The sequence below is a fragment of the Homo sapiens genome, chromosome 14, assembly GCF_000001405.40.
Source record: "Homo sapiens chromosome 14, GRCh38.p14 Primary Assembly".
NCBI classification, from domain to species: Eukaryota; Metazoa; Chordata; class Mammalia; order Primates; family Hominidae; genus Homo; species Homo sapiens.
In genome coordinates, this window is record NC_000014.9 from 41,734,326 (window position 1) to 41,759,102 (window position 24,777).

Genomic DNA, 24,777 nt, shown 5'->3' on the forward strand with positions numbered 1-24,777 from the left:
ATATATATATATATATATATTTAAATTTGCTGTAACTTATTGATGAATTGACCTTTTATTGTTTTATAATGACATAATGACATCATTTTCTTTTGTATAGTTTTCAACTTAAAGTCTATTTTATCTTATATAAGTATAGCTATCTAGCTACCCCTGCTCTCTTTTGTTTCCATTTGCATGGAATACCTTTTTTCCATTCTATTGTTTTCAGTCTCTGTGTGTGCAGAGAGGTGAAGTAAGCTTCTTATAAGCAGTATACAATGGAGTCTTGTCTTTTTTTTTAATCCACTCAGCCTCTTTATGTCTTTCAATTGTGAAATTAAATTCATTTACATTCAAAGTAATTGCTGATGGGTAAGAACTTATGCCATTTGTTCATTACATTCTGGTTAGTTTGTAGATCATTTGTTATCTCTTCCTTTCTTGCTGTCTGCATTTTGTTGAATTTCTGTAGTGGTATGCTTTGAATTATTTCATTTATCTTTTGTGTATCTAGTAAGGGTTTTGCTTGTGGTTACAATAATGCTTACATAAAATATATTGACAGATTATTTTAAGCTAATAATAACTTAACTTTGATCACTTACAAAAAAAGCTCCACTTCCCCTGACAACCAAAAAAGTGTTTTTGATGACACATGCTTATCTTTTATAGTTTGTGTTACTTAACATATTTTTGTAACTATAGTTTTTAATAGTTCTTTCTTTAAACCATCATCGTAAATATTTGATTTATTTTCTCAACATCATTACAGCATAAAAATATTCTGAGTTTTACTCGACTTATTTTTACTAATGAATTTTATATTTTTACATGTTTTTATGTCACTACATTGCAATGTTTTCCTTTAGCATGAAAAACTTTAACATTTCTTATACAAATAAATTCCTTTGGGTTTTGTCTGAAAAAGTTTTTGCCATCCATTCACCTTTATTTTTATTTTTATTTTATATATTTTTTGATACAGTGTCTCAGTCTGTTACCCAGGCAGTAATGCAGTGGCACAATCATGGCTCACTGAAGCCTCAAACTCCTGGGCTCAAGCAATCTCCCTACCTCAGCCTGCTGACTAGCTGGGACCACAGGTGTGCACAACCATACCCCGCTAATCTTTACTTTTACTTTTAGCAGAGGATGGGTCTCCCTATGTTGCTCAGGCTGGTCATAAACTCCTGGGCTCAAGCAGTCCTTCTGCGTCAGCCCCCCCACGTGCTGGGATTATAGGTATAGGCCAATGCACCTGGCCACACTCCTTTATTTTTATTTTATTAGTTTTACTAATTTTTATTATTTATTATACTTTAAATTCTGGGATACATATGCAGAAGATGCAGGTTTGTTATATAGGAATACAAGTGCCGTGGTGATAAGCTGTATCTATCAACCCTTCATTGACATTAGGTATTTCTCCTAATGCTATCCCTCGCCTTGTCCCCCACCCCCTGACAGACCCCAGCATGTGATGTTCCCCTCCCTGTGTCCATGTGTTCTCATTGTTCAATTCCCACTTATGAGTGAGAACATGTGGTGTTTGGATTTCTGTTCCTGTGTTAGTTTGCTGAGAATGATGGTTTCCAGCTTCATCCATGTCTCTGAAAAGGACATGAATTCATTCTTTTTTATGGCTGCATAGTATTCCATGGTGTATATGTGCCATATTTGCTTTAACCAGTCTATCATTGATGGGCATTTGGGTTGGTTCCAAGTCTTTGCTATTGTGAATAGTGCTGCAATAAACATATGTGTGCATGTGTCTTTATAGTAGAATGATTTATAATCCTTTGGTTATATACCCAGCAATGGGATCACTGGGTCAAATGGTATTTCTGGTTCTAGATCCTTGAGGAATTGCCACACTGTCTTCCACAATGGTTGAACTAATTTACACTCCCACCAACAGTGTAATAGCGTTACTATTTCTCCACAACCTCTCCAGCATCCATTGTTTCCTGACTTTTTAAAGATCACCATTCTAACTGGCATGAGATGGTATCTCATTGTGGTTTTGATTTGCATTTCTCTAATAACCAGTGATGATGAGCTTTTTAAAATAAGTTTGTTGACCTCATTAATGTCTTCTTTTGAGAAGTGTCTGTTCACATCCTTTGCCCACTTTTTGATTTTTTTTCTTGTAAATTTGTTTAAGTTCTTTGTAGATTCTGGATATTACCCCTTTGTCAGATGGATAGATTGCAAAAATTTTCTCCTATTCTACACATTGCCTGTTCACTTCGGTGATAGTTTCTTTTGTTGTGCAGAAGCTCTTTATAGACCGCTAGCCAGACTAATAAAGAAGAAAAGAGAGAAGAATCAAATAACACAATAAAAAATGATAAAGGGGACATCACCATTGATCCCACAGAAATACAAACTGCCATCAGAGAATACTATAAACACCTCTATGTAAATAAACTAGAAAATCTAGAGGAAATGGATAAATTCCTGGACACATACACCCTTCCAAGATTAAACCAGGAAGAAGTCAAATCCCTGAATAGACCAATAACAGGTTCTGAAATTAAGGCAGTAATTAAAGCCTACCAATCCAAAAAAGCCCAGGACCAGACAGATTCACAGCCAAATTCTACCAGAGGTACAAAGAGGAGCTGGTACCATTCCTTCTGAAACTATTCCAAACAATAGAAAAAAAAAGGAATCCTCTCTAACTCATTTTCTGAGGCCAGCATCATCCTGATACCAAAACCTGGCAGAAACACAACAAAGAAAGAAAATTTCAGGCCAGTATCCCTGATGAATATTGATGCCAAAATCCTCAATAAAATACTGGGAAACTGAATCCAGCAGCACATTAAAAAGCCTATCCACCACGATCAAGTTGGCTTTATCCCTGGCATGCAAGGCTGGTTCAATATATGCAAATCAATAAATGTGATACATTACATAAACAGAACCAATGGCAAAAAACACATGATTATCTCAATAGATGCTGAAAAGGTTTTTGATAAAATTTAACACCCCTTTATGCTACATACACTCAATAAACTAGGTACTGATGAAACGTATCTTAAAATAGTAAGAGCTATTTATGACAAACTCACAGCCAATATCATAATGAATGGGCAAAAGCTGGAAGCATTTCCTTTGAAAACCGGCACAAGACAAGGATGCCGTCTCTCTCCACTCCTATTCAACATAGTATTGGAAGTTCGGAGCAGGGCAGTCGGGCAAGAGAAAGAAATAAAGGGTATTCAAATAGGAGAGAGGAAATCAAATTATCTCTGTTTGTGGATGACATGATTGTATATTTAGAAAACCCCATCATCTCAGCCCAAAAACTCCTTAAGCTGATGAGCAACTTCAGCAAAGTCTCAGGATACAAAATCAATGTGCAAAAATCACAAGCATTCCTATGCACCAATAATAGACAAACAGCCAAATCATGAGTGAACTCCCATTCACAATTGCTACAAAGAGAATAAAGTACCTAGGAATCCAACTTACAAGGGATGTGAAGGACTTCTTCAAGGAGAACTACAAACCACTGCTCAGTAAAATAAGAGAGGGCACAAACAAATGAAAAAAAAAATCCATGCTCATGGATAGGAAGAATCAATATCATGTAAATGGTCATACCACCCAAAGTAATTTATAGATTCAATGCTATTCCCATCAAGCTACCATTGATATTCTTCACGGAATTAGAAAAAACTTTAAATTTCATGTGGAACCAAAAAAGAGCCTGTATAGCCAAGACAATCTTAAATAAAAAGAACAAAGCTGGAGGCATCACATTACCTGACTTCAAACTATACTACAAGGCTACAGTAACCAAAACAGCATGGTACTGGTAGCAAAACAGATATATGGACCAATGGAACAAAACAGAAGCCTCGGAAATGACACCACACATCTACAACCGTCTGACCTTTGACAAACCTGACAAAAGTGAGCAATGGAGAAATGATTCCCTATATAATAAATGGTATTAGGAAAACTGGCTAGCCGTATGCAGAAAACTGAAACTGGATTCCTTCCTCACACCTTATGCAAAAATTAACTCAAGATGGATTAAAGACTTAAATGTAAGACCTAAAACCATAACAACCCTGGAAGAAAACCTAGGCAATACCATTCAGGACATAGGCATGGGCAAAGACTTCATGACTAAAACACCAAAACTAATTGCAACAAAAGCCAAAATTGACAAATGGGATCTAACCCCTTTATTTTTAAATGACAGGATTCTGGGTATAGAATTCTTTGTCAGAAGTTGTTTTCTTTTTTCTTTCATCTTTTGGAATATATCATTCAATTCTCTTCTGGCCTGCAAGCTTTCTGCTGAAAAATCCAGTGACAGTCTTTTCAAGATCCCGTTTTATACATTAAGTAGCTTTCGTCTGATAGCTTTCAGAGTCCAGATTGCTCATCATTACATTATGGAATCTCTGATAGCTTTCAATATTCTCCCTTTAACTTTTAGCAATTTATTTATAATGTGTCTTAATGTAGGTTGTTTTATATTCAAACTGTTATATGTTCACTGAGCTTTATAAATCTGTGTTTCTAACTTCTTACCCAGGCAAGGGAAATTTTCTGAACTACTATTTACAACAAATGAATCTAACAGGTATTATAGAACAGTTCATCTAACAGCAGTGAAATACATATTCTTCTCAAGTATGCACGGAACATTCTCTTCTATAGATCACATGTTAGTCTACAAGTCAATTCTTAACAAATTTAAGAAGAATGAATTTATATTGAATATCATCTGTTGTGACTAAAATGGCAGGAAACTAGAAACCAATAATAGGAGCAGGCTGGACACAGTAGCTCATTCCATAATCCCAGCACTTTGGGAGGCCAAAGTGGGTGGATTGCTTGAACTCAGGAGTCTGAGGCAAGCCTGGGCAACATGGCCAAAGCCCATCTCCACAAAAATACAAAAATAAGCCAGGCATGGTGGCATGTGCCTGTAGTCTTAGCTATTTGGGAGGGTGGCGTGGGAAGATTGTTTGAGCTTGGCTCATCAATGGTTCAGTGAGCTGTCATCACACCACTGCACTCCAGCCTGAGTGGCAGAGCCAGACATTGTGTCAATCATCATCATCATCATCATCATCATCATCATCATCATCTTGAAGAACTCACAAATATGTGGAAATTAAATATCCTTCTTAATGACACATAGGACAAAGGATAAATTAAAAGAAAAAAAAATCTTGAGACAAGGAAAAATGGAAACACAATATACCAAAACTTATGGGATACAGCAAAAACAATCCTTAGAGGGAATTTTATAACAATAAACACCTACATCAAAGAAGAAGAAAGATTTCAAACAACCTAATGTTATACCTCTAGCAACTAGAAAAAAAAAAACAAACTAAGCACAAACGTAGTGGAAGGAAGTAAATAACAAAGATCGGAGCAGAAATAAGCAAAATAGAGACTAGAAAAACAGTAGAAAATATAAATGAAAGTAAAATTGGGGTTTTTTCAAAAGATAAAATTGACAAACCATTAGCTAGACTAACAAGGACAAAGAGAAAGAAGACTCAAATAAAATCCAAATGGAAGGAATCATAACTGATACCACAGAAATGCAAGGGACCTAAAGACTATCATGGACAACTATATAATAAAAAATGAATAACACAGAAAAAATAAAATTCCTAGAAACATGTAATGTACCATGACAAATAAAAAAGAAATAGAAAAATCTGAACAGACTTGTAATAAGTAAGGAGATTGAATCAACAATAAAAAACTTTCAAAAATAAAAATAAAGCCCAGGGCATGATAGCCTCACTGCCAATTCTACCAAACATTTAAATAACTAATATCAGTCCTTCTCAAGATTATCCAGAAAACTGAAATGGAGGGAATACTTCAAAATTTATTTTACAAGGCAAACTTTACCCTAATATTAAAACCATACAAGGACACTACAAGAAAAGAAAACAACAGGCCAAAATCCCTGATAAATATGGAGCAAAAATCCTCAAGAAAACTAGCAAACCAAATTCAGAAGCACATAAAATATTTATTAACTTTGATAAAATGAGATTTATTCCACAAGAGAAAGGATGGCTCAATGCACATAAATCAATAAATGAGTTACACTATATTAACAAAATGAAGAAGAAAATCATATGATACAGAAAAAAACATTTTCTCAATAGATACAGAAAAAACATTTGACTACATTTAACATCTGATCATGATAAAAGCTCTCAACAAATAGGTATTGAAATAATGTACCTGAACATAATAAAATACATATATTACAAGCCCACAGTTAATATCATATTAAACAGTGAAAAGTTGAAAGCTTTTCTTCTAAGATTAGGAAATAGAAAAGGATGCTCACTGTCATCACTTCTATTCATTATAGTATTGGAAGTCCTAGCTAGAACAACTAGATTAGAAAAAAGAAATAAAAGGCCTCCATAAAGGAAAAAAAGAAGTGAAATTGTCAGTGCAAATTGAAATTGGCATCAGGTTTGCCAATGAGGTGATTTTTATTGTAGAAAACCCTAAAGGCTTTATCAAAGACCTATTAGAACTGATTAGTACATTTAATAAAGTTGTAGTTTATGAAAACAAAATTTAAAAAAGAGTACTATTTCTATAAACTAACAACAAACTATCCAAAAAGAAATCAAGAAAATAATTCCATTTACAATAGCATCCAAAAATAAAATTAAATATTTAGGAATACATTTAACTGAAGAGGTGAATGATTGACTATGATGAAAACTATAATAGGTGAAAGAAGTTGAAAAACACACAATATAAAGATAACTCATGTTCATAGGTTGAAAAATTTACTATTTTAAAAACATACATAGTACTCAAAGCAACCTGCAGATTCAATGCAATCTCTATCAGAATTCCAATTTGTTTTTCACAGAAATAGAATAAAAGTCTAATAGAAAAAAATCCTTGAATAGCTGAAGCAATTGAGCAAAAAGAATGAAGTAGGAGGTATCAAATTTCCTGATTTCAAAATAGATTATAAAGCAATTGTAGTCAAAACAGCATGATACTGGCATGAAAGAAGATATATTGATGAATGGAAAAGAATAGAAAGCACAGAAGCAAACCTGACTATTTAAGGTCAATTGATTTTCCACAAAGATAAACACAATGAAGAAAAGACAATCACTTCAATAAATGGTGTTGACAAAACTTTATATCCACATTCAGAAGCATGAAATTGGATCTTTCTGACACACCATATATGAGAATTAATTCAAAACGGACAAAAGACCAATATGAAAGACTGAATCAATAAATCTACTAGAAGAAAATGTAGGGTAAAAGCTTCATAATTTTGGTCTGGGCAAGGATTTCTGGGATGGAACTTCAAAAGCACAGATAAGAAAAGCAAAAATAGACAGAGGATATTGCATCTAACTAAAAAGCTTTGATGCAGCAAAGACAACAATTTACATAGTGGAGAGATAGCCCACAAATTTAGGTAAAATATTTTTAAACCATACATATGGTAAGGGGCTAAAATAAAAAAAAAAAACCAAAAAACTAATTTAGTAATAGACAAAGAATCTGAACAGATATTTCTCCAAAGAAGACATGTGAATGACCAACAGATATATGAAAAAATCCTCAATGTCTCTAATCATCAGGGAAATGAAAATTGAAACCACAATGAGATATCACCTCACACCCATTAAAATGGCTATTACAAAAATTGATAAGTGTTGGTGAGATAACAAGTGTTGGCAAGAAATGGACCCTTTGTACACTGTTGGGGCCAATGTAAATTAATACAATCATTTTGCAAAATAGTATGGAGATTTTCCAAGAACTAAAAGTAGATTCCATATGACCCCAAAAATGTTACTTTTGGATATATAGCCAATGAATCTGAAATCAGCATGTGAACGAGATACCTGTACTTTCATGTTTATTTCAGAATTAGTCACAGTAGCCAAGATATAGAAGCAATAGAAGCAACCTGGTTTTATTAAAAGATTAATGAAGAAAATGTGGTGTGTATACACACACACACACACACACACACACACACACACTAGAATAATATACAGCCATAAAAATAAGGAAATTTTTTTCATTCACAACATGGCTGGAACTGGAGGAATTTATACTAAGTGAATTCAGCCAGTCATAGAAAGACAAATAGTTTATGATCTAACTTATATGTAATATCTAAAAAACTTGATATCATCCTACCTACTGACTTAGGTCCCAACTTCAGCTGCACTTCTTTCATCTCTGCAGTTGTGACAGGAAGATACGTTGGAGCGACTATGTGACTGGGGCGGGAGCCAAACTGGGTTTGGGGCAACATCAGCAATTCCCGTGGATGGGGCTTATGGGGCCATGATGGGTCAAGAAGGACATTCACCAACAAGAGCCAGAAGAGCCAGGTGTGTGTAGCGCACTACATAGGGGTGTTCCAAAATGGGAATAAATTTGATTTATCCGAAGACAGAAACAAACCTTTCAAGTTCAAAACTGGTGAACAGGAAGTCATCAGTGGTTTTGAAGAGTACATAGCGCAGATGAGCTTGGGGCAGAAGGTGAAGCTGACCTGCATATGTGATGTGTCATATAGAGCTCCAGGCTACTCTAGTATCATCCCTCCCAGTGCTATCCTATCTTTGACATGGAATTGCTCAACTTAGAGTGAAGGCAGGAAGGAAATCAAGGTGGATGGAGATGGCTGCTGCTCACCCTCCTAGCCTGCTTTGCCACTGGGTTGGCTCCTCCTGTTTGGGGCTCTTGATCAGTGTGCTAACCTCACTGTCTCATGGCATGATCCATTCTTTCTGCCCAAGTTGCTGTGTATGTGTTCATTATTGTTCATGCATATCCTTGCTTGAGGAAATTTTGATTTCATTGAAACATTTCATGTTGTGCATTTTTTTATAAGGCATGTAGTAGCCATTCCTGGTCACAGAAAATAGATTTCTTGCTTGCAAAATCTACATCGCCCTACCTTCACTTAAGCCAGACATGCAAGGTGATCAGATATGAAATATACATGGTGTATGCTAGAGACTTGAGCCAGTTACCTTTGCTTTCACTTTCTATCTTATAAATTCTGTTGGCTGCTCACTTAAACAGTGTCTGCTTTGGAAATAATATGTAAAATAAAGACGCAGTGCTTGACCAAAAAATAAATCAATAAAATAAAAATAAAACAGTTTATCTCATGGAATCAAAAGTTAAAAAGTGGTTACTAGAGATTGGGGAAGGATGAGGAAAATGAAAATGTTGACCAAAGGGGAAAAGTTCCAGTTTTATTGGAGGAATAAACTTCAGTGTTGTATTCCACTGCATGGGTAACTACAGTTAGTAGGAATATATCATGTATTTAAAAATTGTTAAAATAATAGATTTTTAATGTCCTCACCACAAAAAATATAAGTTGTTAAGGTGGTGGATATGTTAATTAGCTTAATTGGCTCTCTGTACAGTGTATACATAGATCAAAACATCACATTTTACCTCATCAATAAGTACAATTATTATTTGTGAATTAAACATAAATTAATAAAATTTTAAAAGAAATATATTCGTTTGTACTTTAGGAAAAAATGTACAAAGATATAATTTTGTGACAACAGCTAAAAGTGGTGTGGATGAAACTGTCAAAGGAGTAGAGATGTTGTACATTATTGAAGTTAAGCTGGAATAAAATCAGAGTCTTGTAATTGGAGGATGTTAAATTCAATCATTTGGTAACTACAAATAAAATACTAAAGAATATACACAAAAGAAAATGAGAAAGCTACTGGGTGCAGTACCTCATGCCTATAATCCTAGCACTTTGGGAGATCAAAGTGAGTGAATTGCTCAAGCCCAGAAGTTTGAGACCAACCAAGGCAACATGGCAAAAATCTCATCTCTAGAAAAAATACAAAATTTAACCAAGCATGGTGGTGGCATGCACCTGTAGTCTTAGCTATCAGGAGGCTGAGACAGGAGTATCACTTGAGCCCAGGCGGTTGAAGCTGCAGAGAGCTGGTATCGTGCCACTTCACTCCCAGCCCGGGTGACCGAATGAGGCCCTGTCTCAAATAAATGAAAAAATAAATAAATAGGAAGAGAGAAATAAATTTAACCATTTCAATACAAAAAAATTTAAGTAAACACAAAAGAGGACAGTAGTGTAGGAAATGAGGAGCATTATTCTATAATATATATGGAAAACAAATAGCAACATGACAAAAGTAAGTCCCACATTATCAGTAATCACTTTAAGTGTAAACAGATTAACCACTCCAATTCAGAGACACAGATTGGTAAAATGCATTAAGAAACACACACACGCACACCATAATTCACATAATATGCTGTTCACAAGAGACTCAGTTTGGATCCAGAACACCAATAGGTTGAAAATGAAAATATGTAAAAATATATTTCATGTAAATATTAACAAGAATAAAGCTGGGGTAGCTATAGTAATAGCAGATGAAATAAACTTTAAATTTATAAAGCTTACAAGAGACAAAGGCATTATTTATTAATAAAAGTTGAGCAAGAGTAATAGAGAAAGAAGACAAAGCAGTTTAAACATTTACACGTAGTAATTGACTGTAAAAATATAAAGTAAAAACTGATGGAATTGAAGGGGAAAATATCTCTACACAATAGTTGGATACTTCAATACTTCACTCTCAATAGAACAACTATAAACAGAAGATAAGAAGATAGAAGATTTAATGAACAAAATAAGACAACCGGACCTAACAGATACACAGAACACTCTACCCAACAACAGAATACACATTTTTCTCAAGTTCACCCAAGACATTTTTCAGGATAGAACATATATTAAGCCACAGATTAAGTATCTATACATTTTAAAAGATTGATATCACATAAAATATTTACTCTGGTGACAATGGCAGAATAAAGTTAGAAATAACAAAAGAAAAGCTGAAAATACCGCAAATTTGTCAAAATTAAATAACATATATTTGTGGAAATTAAATAACACAAATGGGTCAAAAATCACAAGGGAAATTAGAAAATACTTAGCAATGAATGAAAACAAAATCATAATATATCAAAACTTACGGTACTCAGTGAAAGCAATGCTAACTGGAAAACTTTTAGCTATACATGCTTACATTTAAAACTAAGAAAGCTCTTCATTGAACAACCCAACTTTACAATTTCTGGAACTAGAAAAAGAGTACCAAACTAAACCCCAAACATAGCAGAGGGAAATAAATAGTAAAGATTGGAGCAGAGATCATTGAAATAAATAATAGTAAAATAAGAGAGAACATTCAAATTAAAAATTGGTTCTTTGAAATGCTTAATAAAAATTTATGAATATTGGACTAAGAAAAAAAGAGAAGATTCAAAATAAGTTTGTTATAAGAAATGAAAGTGGAGATGTTACTAATTCTACAGAAATAAAAAGGATTACGAAATTATCCTGAACAATTGTATATCTACAAACTGAATAACCCTACATGAAATGACAAATTCTTAAAAATACAAAACTTACCAAAATTAACCCAGAAGAAATCGAATATCTGAATAGCACTGTAACTAGTAAGGAAATTGAACCACTAATTAAAACTTTCCCCAAAAAGAAAAGCCCTGGATCTGATGGCTTCACTAATGAATTCTACTAAACATTTATAGAACTAACACTAATCTTTCTCAAATGGAAAATGAAGGAACACTCCCTAACTCATTCTATGAGGCCACCATTACCCTGGTAGCAAAGTCAAAGGAAGATAATACAGGAAACAAATATTGCAGGCAGTTACGCCTTATGATCATTGATGTATAAATTCTCAACAAAATACTAGCCAACTGAATTCAGCAGCATATTAAAAGGATTATATACCGACTGACTGTGTGTGACTTATTCCTAGAATGGAATGATGGCTCTACATATTAAAATCATTCACTGTAATATACCACATAAACAGAATGAAGGAAAAAATACACGATTATCTCAATTAATGCCAAGAAAAGATTTGACAAAATTCACTATCTTTTCCTGATACAAAACACTCAAAGAATAGAAGGAAACTACCTCAATATTATAAAAGTCATGTATGACAAAAAATACAGAAATATCATACTCAGTGGGGCAAGACTAAAATATTTACTCCTAAAATTGTGAACATGGCAAGAATCCACTTTGCCGCTTTTACTCAATGGAGTGGTAGGTCTTTGCCAGAGCAGTTAGGCAATAAAAACAAATAAAGGGGTGAGATGATATCTCATTGTAGATTTTATTTTTATTTCTGATTATCACTGATGTTGAACACCTTTTCCTATACCTCTTTGCCAGTTATATTTCCTCTTTTGAGCAATATCTATTCACCTACTGTGTACTCACAAAAATTTTTTAAAAAAGCAAAAATACATTAGGCACTCCAAATGTGTAAAAGAAAGAAGAAAGGAAGGAAGGAAAAGGCATTAGAATTGAAAAGAAAGAAATAAAATTATCTCTGATCTCAGATGATATGATCTTTTAAGTAGAAAATGCTAAAGAAAATACACACCTGAAAGCCTGCTAGAACTAATGAACACATTCAGCAAAATAAGCGAATACAATGTTAACACACAAAGAGCATTTGCAGTCTATACACTAATAATGAACAGTATGAAAAGAAAATTGAGAAAATGATTCCATTTACAATACCATCAGAAAGAATAAAAGAGTTAGGAATAAACGTAACAAAGGAGGCAAAAGCCTTACAGAATGAAAACTACAAAACATTTCTGAAATAAATGAAAGAAGACATAGATTAGAAAGAATCCCTATGTTCACCATGGGAAGAGTTAATATTAAAACATCAGTATTACCCAAAAGGATCTACAAATTTCCAATCACTATATTCTGATTACTTTGTTGAAGAAATTTTTAAAAATTCTAAAACACATACCGAATTTCAAGGAATCCTGAATAACCAACACAATATATATTTTTTAAAGCTATGGGGCTTATACTTCCTGATTGCAAAACTTACTACAAAGTTACAGTAATCAAAGGATTTTGGTACTGGCATAAAAACAAACATATATACCTATGAAATGGAATACGGCATTTAGAAACAAACCCTTGCATGTGTGGACAAATTATTTTTGACAAGGTTGCCAACACCATTCAGGTGGGGAAAGGACAGTCTTTTTAACAAGTGATGCTGGAAAAACATGCAAAATAATTAAGTTGGACCTTTACATAACACCATATACAAAAATTAAACTGGATTAAAGACCTAAATATAACACTGACAACTATAACCTCTTAAAACAGCACACAAGGCAAATGCTTTAAAATATTGGATTTAGTAATGGTTTATTGAATATGACAGCAGAGGCATAGCCAACAAAGAGAAAAATAGACAAATTGGAATCATGAACATTTTTTAAAGTGCATAGAAGATACTATCAATAGAGTAAGAAGGCAACCCACAGAATGGGAGAAAGTATTTGGAAATTATATATATGACAAGTTATTAATATCCTGAATATATAGAGAACTCCTAAAACTCAACAAGAAATAAGCCAATTCAAAAATAGATGAAGGCCTTCAACAGGCATGATCCAGAAAAGATATACAGATGGAAAACAACATATAATAAAATGCCTAGCATCAACAGTTTTAGGAAAATGCAAATCAAAACTGCCATGTAATACTACTTCGTAATCATTAGGATGAAGACTCTCCAAAGAATATAAACACAGAAAATAAGAAGACTTGGAGAAGATGTGAAGCGATTTAAACCTTTCTACGCTCTTGATGTGTTGGTGGGAATGTAAAGTGAAAGTGGTTCATTTGCCTGGGAAAATAAGATAGTTCCTCAAAATATTAAAATAGAACTACTGTGATTCAGTAATTCCACTTTGGGGTATAGAAGTGGAAAGAATAGAAAGCAAGATATCAAAAAATGTATTTGTATATCCATGTTTAAAATTATATTAGTCACAAAGCTAAAAGTTGGAAACAATTCACCTGTCCATTAGCAGACAAATGGCTAAGGTAATGGTATATATATGCAATGGAATATTAGCCTCATAAAGGAAAAAACAACTTATATATGATAGAGCATGGATAAATGTTGAGGAGATTATGCTAAATAAAATATGCCAATTACAAAAGAATATTATAGGACTCCACTTATAGAGGGAACTTAGAGTAGTCCCAAACATAGCAACTGACAGTGGAATGGTGATTGCAAGGGGCTTCAGGTAGGGGATAATGGAGAGTTATTTTTTAATAGTTTTGCAAGATGAAAAGAGTTCTGGAGAAGAGTGGTAATGATGGTTGTGCAACAGTATAAATGTACACAATACTACTAAATTGTGCACTAAAAACTATTAAATAGTAAATGTGTTGTGCATTTTTACCCCAATATTAAAAACTCAGAAAAAAATGTATGGTTCAGTATGAATACAGCTTAGTGTGAGGAATGGTGAAAGCCAGATGCGTATGGGCTTTTAATGGTACACTAGAATTTCATATGTGACACATAATTTCATTTGCATTTAAAGGTAATCATTACAGTGTTGGCAAAATAAAAATATGGATGACCTACTCTATTTTCTGCTGCTATAACAGAATACCACAGACAGGATATTTTATATATATATATATAAATTTATTTATCTTGTAGTTCTGGAGGCAGTGGATTCTATAGCATGGCACCAGCATCTGGCAAGGGTCACTCCATGATAGAAGGGCTGAAGGTGGAAGTGAGGACACCAGACAGAGAATAATTGGCAAACTCATATGTTTTATAATGAACTCACTGTTATGATAACTTGGCCACTCCCAAAATAATGTAATTTAACCATTTACGAGGACAGAGCCTTCATTACCTAATCACCTCTTAAAGGCCTCACCTCTTAATACTGTTGCAATGACAATTAAATTTCCAATACATGAGCGTTGAGAGACGTATGCAAACAGTAACAATCCAGAATATGTTGTATTGTCTTATAAAACTGTATTGTCTTATAAGACTGAATCCATTTATAAAGCTATTGTATTAATGCATGCCAGAGGTAGTGAAATACTGACTTATAATAAAGCAAGAACTGAGTGCAAATAGAACCAAAGGATGTCATAGACATTGAATTAACAAACATTCATTGATTTAATGATAGATTCCATAAAAAATGTGCTACATATACACTACGAAATATTATACAGCTATAGTATTCCATGGTGTATATAGAGATGATGTCTTTTGCGGGAACATGGAAGGAGCTGGAGGCTATTATCCTTAGCAAACTAACACAGGAACAGAAAACCAAATACTGCACGCTCTCACTTATAAGTGAAAGTGAAACCATATGACCTTATGAATGCAAAGAAGGAAACAATAGACGCTGGGGTCTATTTGAGTGGGAGGAGGGAGAGGAGAAGCAAAGATCACTATTGGATATTGGGCTTAATACCTGGGTGATGAAATAATATGTACCGCAGACTCCCATGACACATGTTTACCTGTGTAACAATCCTTCATATGTACCTCCAAACCTAAAATAAAAGTTAAAATAAGTTCACTAATTAGATGAGAAAATTTTCATCCTAATGTTGAAAGTTCATTATCACTAAATCAATGCCAGAATTAAGAATTGGGTTACTGATGTTAGACAACTAGCACATATTTAAATAAAATATCAAAAATGGTAACTTTTAGTTAACATCAATAGGGAGACATGCACATTTTGAAACTGTCTCTCTAACTTTCTTTTCTATATTAAAACATATTTTCTGTTTGGCTTATTCATTTTGATATGATGAGATAAGTTTAAACATATATTGTCCTTAGCTCCAAAATAAACTAGAAAAATTGTGTGTAAGTAATTTTACAATTTGGTCCCTATAAATTAAATTTCCATTTTATTTCTTATTGTTTACATCCTGTATAATGTTATCAGTTTTCTTCTCTCTTAATGTCATGGCTTAGTTGGAATTTCTTGAGGCTGAGTAACTTTTCTTATATATATATATATATATATATATATATAAGATTTTTTATATGTATATAAGATTTCATGTATATATATTTCTATATAGAGAGAGAGATAATGGAAAGAGATTCTATAGTTTGTTGTTTTACCTGCCAGCAAATAGTGGCATAGACCTGTGCAAGAGACATCATCTTTGGGCCTTGAAAATGAGAGCAAATGATAACTGTGATACCTGCTTTGTAATATTATTTTGAAGGTCACATAAAATAATGTATGTAACAAAGCTTTGAAAATAATAAAGTACATATATTAAATATTAAAATTTGCTTTCATTGTATTGTGATCTCAGTTACCACTTACGCAAAATTATTTGGCTAATGCATGTGTATTAGTCCATTTTCAAACTGCTGTAAGGATACTACCTAAGACTGGGTAATTTATAAACAAAGGAAGTTTAATTGACAGAGTTTTGCATTGCTGGGGAGGCCTCAGAAAACTTAAAATCCTGGAGTAAGGCAAAGGGGAAGCAGGCACCTTCTTCACAAGGTGGCAGAAGAGAGCACACAGGGGAAACTGCCACTTTTTAAAAATTATTATTATACCTTAAGTTCTAGGGTACACGTGCACAACGTGCAGTTTTGTTACATAGGTATACACGTGCCATGTTGGTTTGCTGCACCCATCAACCCATCATCTACATTAGGTATTTCTCCTAATGCTATCCCTCCCTCAGCCCCCTACGTCCCGACAGGCCCCAGTGTGTGATGTTCCCCGCCCTGTGTCCATGTGTTCTCATTGTTCACCTCCCACTTATGAGTGAGAACATGCTACTTTTAAAACCATCAGATCTTGTCAGAGCCCCCTCACTATCATGAGAAGAGCACAGGGGAAACTGCCCCAATGATCAATCACCTCCCACTAGGGCCCTCCCTCAACACAATTATAATTCAAGATGAGATTTGGGTGAGAACAGGGAGCCAAACCATTTCAGCATGTAATCACTCTAAAGAAGAAAATCAAATTATGCTCTTGTTAATAAAGTTCGGTGTTAATAGCACTATGGTAAAATTCAAATGCACATACTTTTAGAGCTATAAATGGAATTACAGCTCCCGTGGTCAAGCATCAAAATCACAAATTAGAATATATTGAAAAAAAATTGAAATTATAATCCTTCCACATATATATATTTTTCATTCCTCCAATGCACATATGTATTGGCTTAAGAATGGACTTCTAGATATGTTCAAGGAGATGAGATAAATATTCACACTTATATTTAGTTTTAAATGTTTATCACATTATAAAGTCACTGGTGATACATACAATGTATCTGTTTATCTCATCTTTGGAAGTCTCTCCAAGCAGATGCACACTCTGAGGATGCAGAGAAGTCAGTTTGACTTTGAGCATAGGGTTAACTTAACCTTAAGTATCTTACTAAAGGCAGTCTCACAGGACATTAGCATCAGACAGAATCCTTAGGACCAATCTCCTCCAAACTTAAGTCCCACACAAGAATGTCATTTTTTTAAAATTATACTTTAAGTTTTACGGTACATATACACAATGTGCAGGTTTGTTACATATGTATACATATGGCATGTTGGTGTGCTGCACCCATTAACTTGTCATTTAACATTAGGCATATCTCCTAATGTTATCCCTCCCCTCTCCCGCCAACCCACAACAGGCCCCGGTGTGTGATGTTCCCCTTCCTGTGCCCATGTGTTCTCATTGTTCAATTCCAATCTATGAGTGAGAACATGCAGTGTTTGGTTTTTTGTCCTTGCGACAGTTTGCTGAAAATGATGGTTTCCAGCTTCATCCATGTCCCTACAAAGGACATGAACTCATCATTTTTTATGGCTGCATAGTATTCCATAGTGTATATGTGCCACATTTTCTTAATCCAGTCTATCATTTATGGACATTTGGGTTGGTTCCAAGTCTTTGCTATTTTGAGTAGTGCCACAATAAACTTACATGTGCATGTGTCTTTATAGCAGCATGTTTTATAATCCTTTGAGTATATATCCAGTAATAGGATGGCTGGGTCAAATGGTATTTCTAGTTCTAGATCCCTGAGGAATCGCCACACTGACTTCCACAATGGTTGAACTAGTTTACAGTCCCACCAACAGTGTAAAAGTGTTCCTATGTCTCCACATCCTCTCCAGTACCTGTTGTTTCCTGACTTTTTAATGATTGCCATTCTAACTGGTGTGAGATGATATCTCATTGTGGTTTTGATTTGCATTTCTCTGATGGCCAGTGATGATGAGCATTTTTTCATGTGTCTTTTCGCTGCTAAATGTCTTCTTCTGAGAAGTGTCTGTTCATATCCTTTGCCCACATTTTGATGGGGTTGTTTGTTTTTTTCTTGTAAATTTGTTTCAGTTCATTGTAGATTCTGGATATTAGCCCTTTTCTCAGATGAGTATATTGCAAAAATTTTCTGCCATTCTGTAGGTTGCCTGTTCACTCTGATGGTAGTTTCTTTTGCTGTGCAGAAGCTCTTTAGTTTAATTAGATCCCATTTGTCAATTTGGGCTTTTGTTGCCATTGCTTTTTGTGTTTTAGACATGAAGTCCTTGCCCATGCCTATGTCCTGAATGGTAATGCCTAGGTTTTCTTCTAGGGTTTTTATGGTTTTAGGTTTAACATTTAAGTCTTTAATCCATGTTGAATTAATTTTTGTATAAGGTGTAAGGAAGGGATCCAGTTTCAGCTTTCTACATATGGCTAGCAAGTCTTCCCAGCACCATTTATTAAATAGGGAAACCTTCCCCCATTTCTTGTTTTTGTCAGATTTGTCAAAGATCAGATAGTTGTAGATATGCGGCATTATTTCTGAGGGCTCTGTTCTGTTCCATTGGTCTATATTTCTGTTTTGGTACCAGTACCATGCTGTTTTGGTTACTGTAGCCTTGTAGTATAGTTTGAAGTCAGGTAGCATGATGCCTCCAGCTTTGTTCTTTTGGCTTAGGATTGACTTGGCGATGCGGGCTCTTTTTTGGTTCCATATGAACTTTAAAGTTGTTTTCTCCAATTCTCTGAAGAAAGTCATTGGTAGCTTGATGCGGATGGCATTGAATCTATAAATTACCTTGGGCAGTATGGCCATTTTCACAATATTGCTTATTCCTACCCATGAGCATGGAATGTTCTTCCATTTGTTTGTATCCTCTTTTATTTCATTGAGCAGTGGTTTGTAGTTCTCCTTGAAGAGGTCCTTCACATCCCCTGTAAGTTGGATTCCTAGGTATTTTATTCTCTTTGAAGCAATTGTGAATGGGAGTTCACTCATGATTTGGCTCTCTGTTTGTCTGTTATTGGTGTATAAGAATGCTTGTGATTTTTGCACATTGATTTTGTATCCTGAGAATTTGCTGAAGTTGCCTTTCACCTTATGGAGATTTTGGGCTGAGACGATGGGGTTTTCTAGATAAACAATCATGTCATCTACAAACAGGGACCATTTGACTTTCTCTTTTCCTAATTGAATACCCTTTATTTCCTTCTCCTGCCTGATTGCCCTGGCCAGGACTTCCAACACTATGTTGAATAGGAGTGGTGAGAGAGGGCATCCCTGTCTTGTGCCAGTTTTCAAAGGGAATGCTTCCAGTTTTTGCCCATTCAGTATATTGGCTGTGGGTTTGTCATAGATAGCTCTTATTATTTTGAGATACGTCCCATCAATACCTAATTTATTGAGAGTTTTTAGCATGAAGGGCTGTTGAATTTCGTCAAAGGCCTTTTCTGCATCTATTGAGATAAACATGTGGTTTCTGTCTTTGGTTCTGTTTGTATGCTGGATTATGTTTATTGATTTACGTATATTGAACCAGCGTTGCATCACAGGGATAAAACCCACTTGATCATGGTGGATAAGCTTTTTGATGTGCTGCTGGATTCGGTTTGCCAGTATTTTATTGAGGATTTTTGCATCGATGTTCATCGGGGATATTGGTCTAAAATTCTCTTTTTTTGTTGTGTCTCTGCCAGGCTTTGGTATCAGGATGATGCTGACCTCATAAAATGAGTTAGGGAGGATTTCCTCTTTTTCTATTGATCAGAATAGTTTTAGAAGGAATGGTACCAGCTCCTCCTTGTACCTCTGGTAGAATTCGGCTGTGAATCCATCTGGTCCTGGACTTTTTTTTGGTTCGTAAGCTATTAATTATTGCCTCAATTTCAGAGCTTGTTATTGGTCTATTCAGAGATTCAACTTCTTCCTGGTTTAGTCTTGGGAGGGTTTATGCATCGAGGAATTTATCCATTTCTTCTAGATTTTCTAGTTTATTTGCGTAGAGGTGTTTATAGTATTCTCTGATGGTAGTTTGTATTTCTGTGAGATTGGTGGTGATATCCCCTTTATCATTTTTTATTGTGTCTATTTGATTCTTCTCTCTTTTCTTCTTTATCAGTCTTGCTAGTGGTCTATCAATTTTGTTGATCTTTTCAAAAAACCGGCTCCTGGATTCATTGATTTTTGAAGCGTTTTTTGTGTCTCTGTTTCCTTCAGTTCTGCTCTGATCTTAGTTATTTCTTGCCTTCTGCTAGCTGTTGAATATGTTTGCTTTTGCTTCTCTAGTTCTTTTAATTGTGATGTTAGGGTGTCGATTTTAGATCTTTCCTGCTTTCTCTTGTGGGCATTTAGTGCTATACATTTCCCTCTACACACTGCTTTGAATGTGTCCCAGAGATTCTTGTATGTTGTGTCTTTGTTCTCGTTGGTTTCAAAGTACATCTTTATTTCTGCCTTCATTTCGTTATGTACCCGGTAGTCATTCAGGAGCAGGTTGTTCAGTTTCCATGTAGTTGAGCAGTTTTGAGTGAGTTTCTTAATCCTGAGTTCTAGTTTGATTGCACTGTGGTCTGCGAGACAGTTTGTTATAATTTCTGTTCTTTTACATTTGCTGAGGAGAGCTTTACTTCCAACTATGTGGTCAATTTTGGAATCAGTGCAGTGTGGTGCTGAGAAGAATGTATATTGTGTTGATTTGGGGTGGAGAGTTCTGTAGATGTCTATTAGGTCCGCTTGGTGCAGAGCTGAGTTAAGTTCCTGGATATCCTTGTTAACTTTCTGTCTCATTGATCTGTCTGATGTTGACAGTGGGGTGTTAAAGTCTCCCATTATTATTGTGTGGGAGTCTAAGTCTCTTTGTAGGTCTCTAAGGACTTGCTTTATGAATCTGGGTCCTCCTGTATTAGGTGCCTATATATTTAGGATAGTTAGCTCTTCTTGTTGAATTGATCCCTTTACCATTATGTAATGGCCTTCTTTGTCTCTTTTGATCTTTGTTGGTTTAAAGTCTGTTTTATCAGAGACTAGGATTGCAACCCCTGCCTTTTTTTGTTTTCCATTTGCTTGGTAGATCTTCCTCCATCCCTTTATTTTGAGCCTATGTGTGTCTCTGCACATGAGATGTGTTTTCTGAATACAGCACACTGATGGGCCTTGACTCTTTATCCAATTTGCCAGTCTGTGTCTTTTAATTGGAGCATTTATCCCATTTACCTTTAAGGTTAATATTGTTATGTGTGAATTTGATCCTGTCATTATGATGTTAGCTGGTTATTTTGCTCATTAGTTGATGCAGTTTCTTCTTAGCCTCGATGGTCTTTACAATTTGGCATGATTTTGCAGTGGCTGGTACCGGATGTTCCTTTCCACGTCTAGTGCTTTCTTCAGGAGCCCTTTTAGGGCAGGCCTGGCGGTGAGAAAATCTCTCAGCATTTGCTTGTCTGTAAAGTATTTTATTTCTCCTTCACTTATGAAGCTTAGTTTGGCTGGATATGGAATTCTGGGTTGAAAATTCTTTTGTTTAAAAATGTTGAATATTGGCCCCCACTCTCTTCTGGCTTGTAGAGTATCTGCCGAGAGATCAGCTGTTAGTCTGATTGGCTTCCCTTTGTGGGTAAGCCGACCTTTCTCTCTGGCTGCCCTTAACATTTTTTCCTTCATTTCAACTTTAGTGAATCTGACAATTATGTGTCTTGGAGTTGCTCTTCTCGAGGAGTATCTTTGTGGCATTCTCTGTATTTACTGAATTTGAATGTTGGTCTGCCTCGCTAGATTGGGGAAGTTCTCCTGGATAATATCCTGCAGAGGTTTTCCAACTTGGTTCCATTCTCCCCGTCATTTTTAGGTACACCATTCAGACGTAGATTTGACCTTTTCACATAGTCCCATATTTCTTGGAGGCTTTATTCGTTTCTTTTTTATTCTTTTTTCTCTAAACTTGTCTTCTCGCTTCATTTCATCTTCCATCACTGATACCCTTTCTTCCAGTTGATCGAATCGGCTACTGAGGCTTGTGCATTGGTCCCGTAGTTCTCGTGCCATGGTTTTCATCTCCATCACGTCCTTTAAGGACTTCTCTGCATTGGTTATTCTAGTTAGCCATTCGTCTAATTTTTTTTCAAGGTTTTTAACTTCTTTGCCATGGGTTCGAACTTCCTCCTTTAGCTCAGAGTAGTTTGATCGTCTGAAGCCTTCTTCTTTCAACTCGTCAAAATCATTCTCCGTCCAGCTTTGTTCCATTGCTGGTGAGGAGCTGCATTCCCTTGGAGGAGGAGAGGTGCTCTGATTTTTAGAGTTTCCAGTTTTTCTGCTCTGTTTTTTCCGCATCTTTGTGGTTTTATCTACCTTTGGTCTTTGATGATGGTGACGTACAGATGGGGTTTTGGTGTGGGTGTCCTTTCTGTTTATTAGCTTTCCTTCTAACTGTCAGGACCCCCAGCTGCAAGTCTGTTGGAGTTTGCTGGAGGTCCACTCCAGATCCTGTTTGCCTGGGTATCAGCAGCAGAGGCTGCAGAACAGAGGATATTGGTGAACAGCAAATGTTGCTGCCTGATCGTTCCTCTGGAAGTTTTGTCTCAGAGGAGTACCCGGCCGTGTGAGGTGTCAGTCTGCCCCTACTAGGGGGTGCCTCCCAGTTAGGCTACTCGGGGGTCAGGGACCCACTTGAGGAGGCAGTCTGTTTGTTCTCAGATCTCCAGCTGCGTGCTGGGAGAACCACTACTCTCTTCAAAGCTGTCAGACAGGGACATTTAAGTCTGCAGAGATTTCTGCTGCCTTTTGTTTGGCTATGCCCTGCCCCCAGAGGTGAAGTCTACAGAGGCAGGCAGGCCTCCTTGAACTGTGGTGGGCTTCACCCAGTTCAATCTTCCTGGCCGCTTTGTTTACCTACTCAAGCCTCAGCAATGGTGGGCGCCCCTCCCCCAGCCTCGCTGCCGCCTTGCAGTTTGATCTCAGACTGCTGTGCTAGCAATGAGTGAGGCTCCGTGGGCGTAGGACCCTCCGAGCCAGGTGTGGGATATAATCTTCTGGTGTGCCATTTGCTAATACCATTGGAAAAGCACAGTATTAGGGTGGGAGTGACCCAATTTTCCAGGTGCCATCTGTCACCCCTTTCTTTGACTAGGAAAGGGAATTCCCTGACCCCTTGCGCTTGCCAGGTGAGGCGATGCCTTGCCCTGCTTTGGCTCACGCTCGGTGCGCTGCACCCACTGTACTGCACCCACTGTCTGACACTCCCCAGTGAGATGAACCCGGTACCTCAGTTGGAAATGCAGAAATCACCAGTCTTCTGCGTGGCTCACATTGGGAGCTGTAGACTGGACCTGTTCCTATTCGGCCATCTTGGCTCCAGAAGAATGTCATTTTTGGTACCCATATAGAGTGAGCTATCAGAAATCAATTCACTCACTTTTTCCATGGTGGCTCATACTAATATGGGACTATCCTAATAGTATATTCTTAATGTAAAAGTAGAGCCCCCATGCAACTCTTATCCTTCTTTCCAAATTATGCTTTCAAATGGCCTTTGAAGGTGTCTTCTCTTTATCATATCTCTTTCTCAAGCTAAAATTTCCAAGGTTTTTCCAACCACTTTTTAGTTGCAGTGCTTGCCAGATTTCCTTGAGTTTTTGTCTCTTGGCATGTTTCACCAAGTTCATAATGAGACACATTGTTTTCCAGATGTGGCTTGATAAGGATGACATATTTCAATATGACTATTAAACTTGTTCTTCTGGATGTATCTTTTCTATTAATGAATGCTGAGATTGCAGTCCTGAAACTATTGACCATTAAGGATCATAGAGACAATTAATCCCTTATGTGTATTTCATATAAACTACTTTCAAAGAAGTAACCCTTGCCTGTACTTTAATAGTTAAGTTTCTAAATCTAAGCCTCTTTACTTTGGCTTTACTGTATTTCATTTTGACAGTCTTGGCCCATTCATAAGCCTATGGAGACATTTTAAAATCCCAGCTTTGTGTCAGTCACAGATTCACAGATTTAACAAGTTTAATTTCTTATGTCCTTTCTTAAGTCAATGTTAAAATGCTGAACAAGAAAAGACCAAGGACAGCAGGGTTACGGTCTAATAAAATAATGTGTCTGAAAATGCTTTGCAAACATTATTTTGTATTCATCTTTAGTTCTTCATTCTTCCTTTGTCTTTTATACATGACTGTTTATAATCTGACCTTATGGAAAATTTGTCCCATACAGCCTTCATAGTTTAACTTTGTTTCCAATGACCTCTCTATCGAAATAATTTCTAATTGCATCATTTAATTTTCCTTTTTAAAATATTCTCTTCTTTTTGAGTCATCTTTTCTTTTGGAAACTTTCTCCTCAAGAGATGACTTCTTTGAATGTTTTTTACTATGTGATTTTTCCTCATTTGCAGTTAAAAATGTAATTTGTTGTATGTAGGTGAAGGTGCTAGATGCTGCAGGGCATACAATTATTCATATTATATTCCTGGACCTCAAAGAGCTTACAGGCCAATAAGAGATCTAAGACACGTGGTACATCACATGATGTACCATTAGGATGGT

At 35.8% G+C, this 24,777-nt stretch overlaps 1 protein-coding gene and 1 pseudogene across 8 annotated transcripts in view; both read left to right on the forward strand.

The window, feature by feature from the left end:
• Positions 1-24,777, forward strand: part of LRFN5 (leucine rich repeat and fibronectin type III domain containing 5) — a 297,674-nt gene that overhangs the window by 127,450 nt on the left and 145,447 nt on the right. The gene's annotated exons all lie outside the window — the stretch shown is intronic.
• On the forward strand, positions 8,226-9,127 carry FKBP1BP1 (FKBP prolyl isomerase 1B pseudogene 1; annotated as a pseudogene).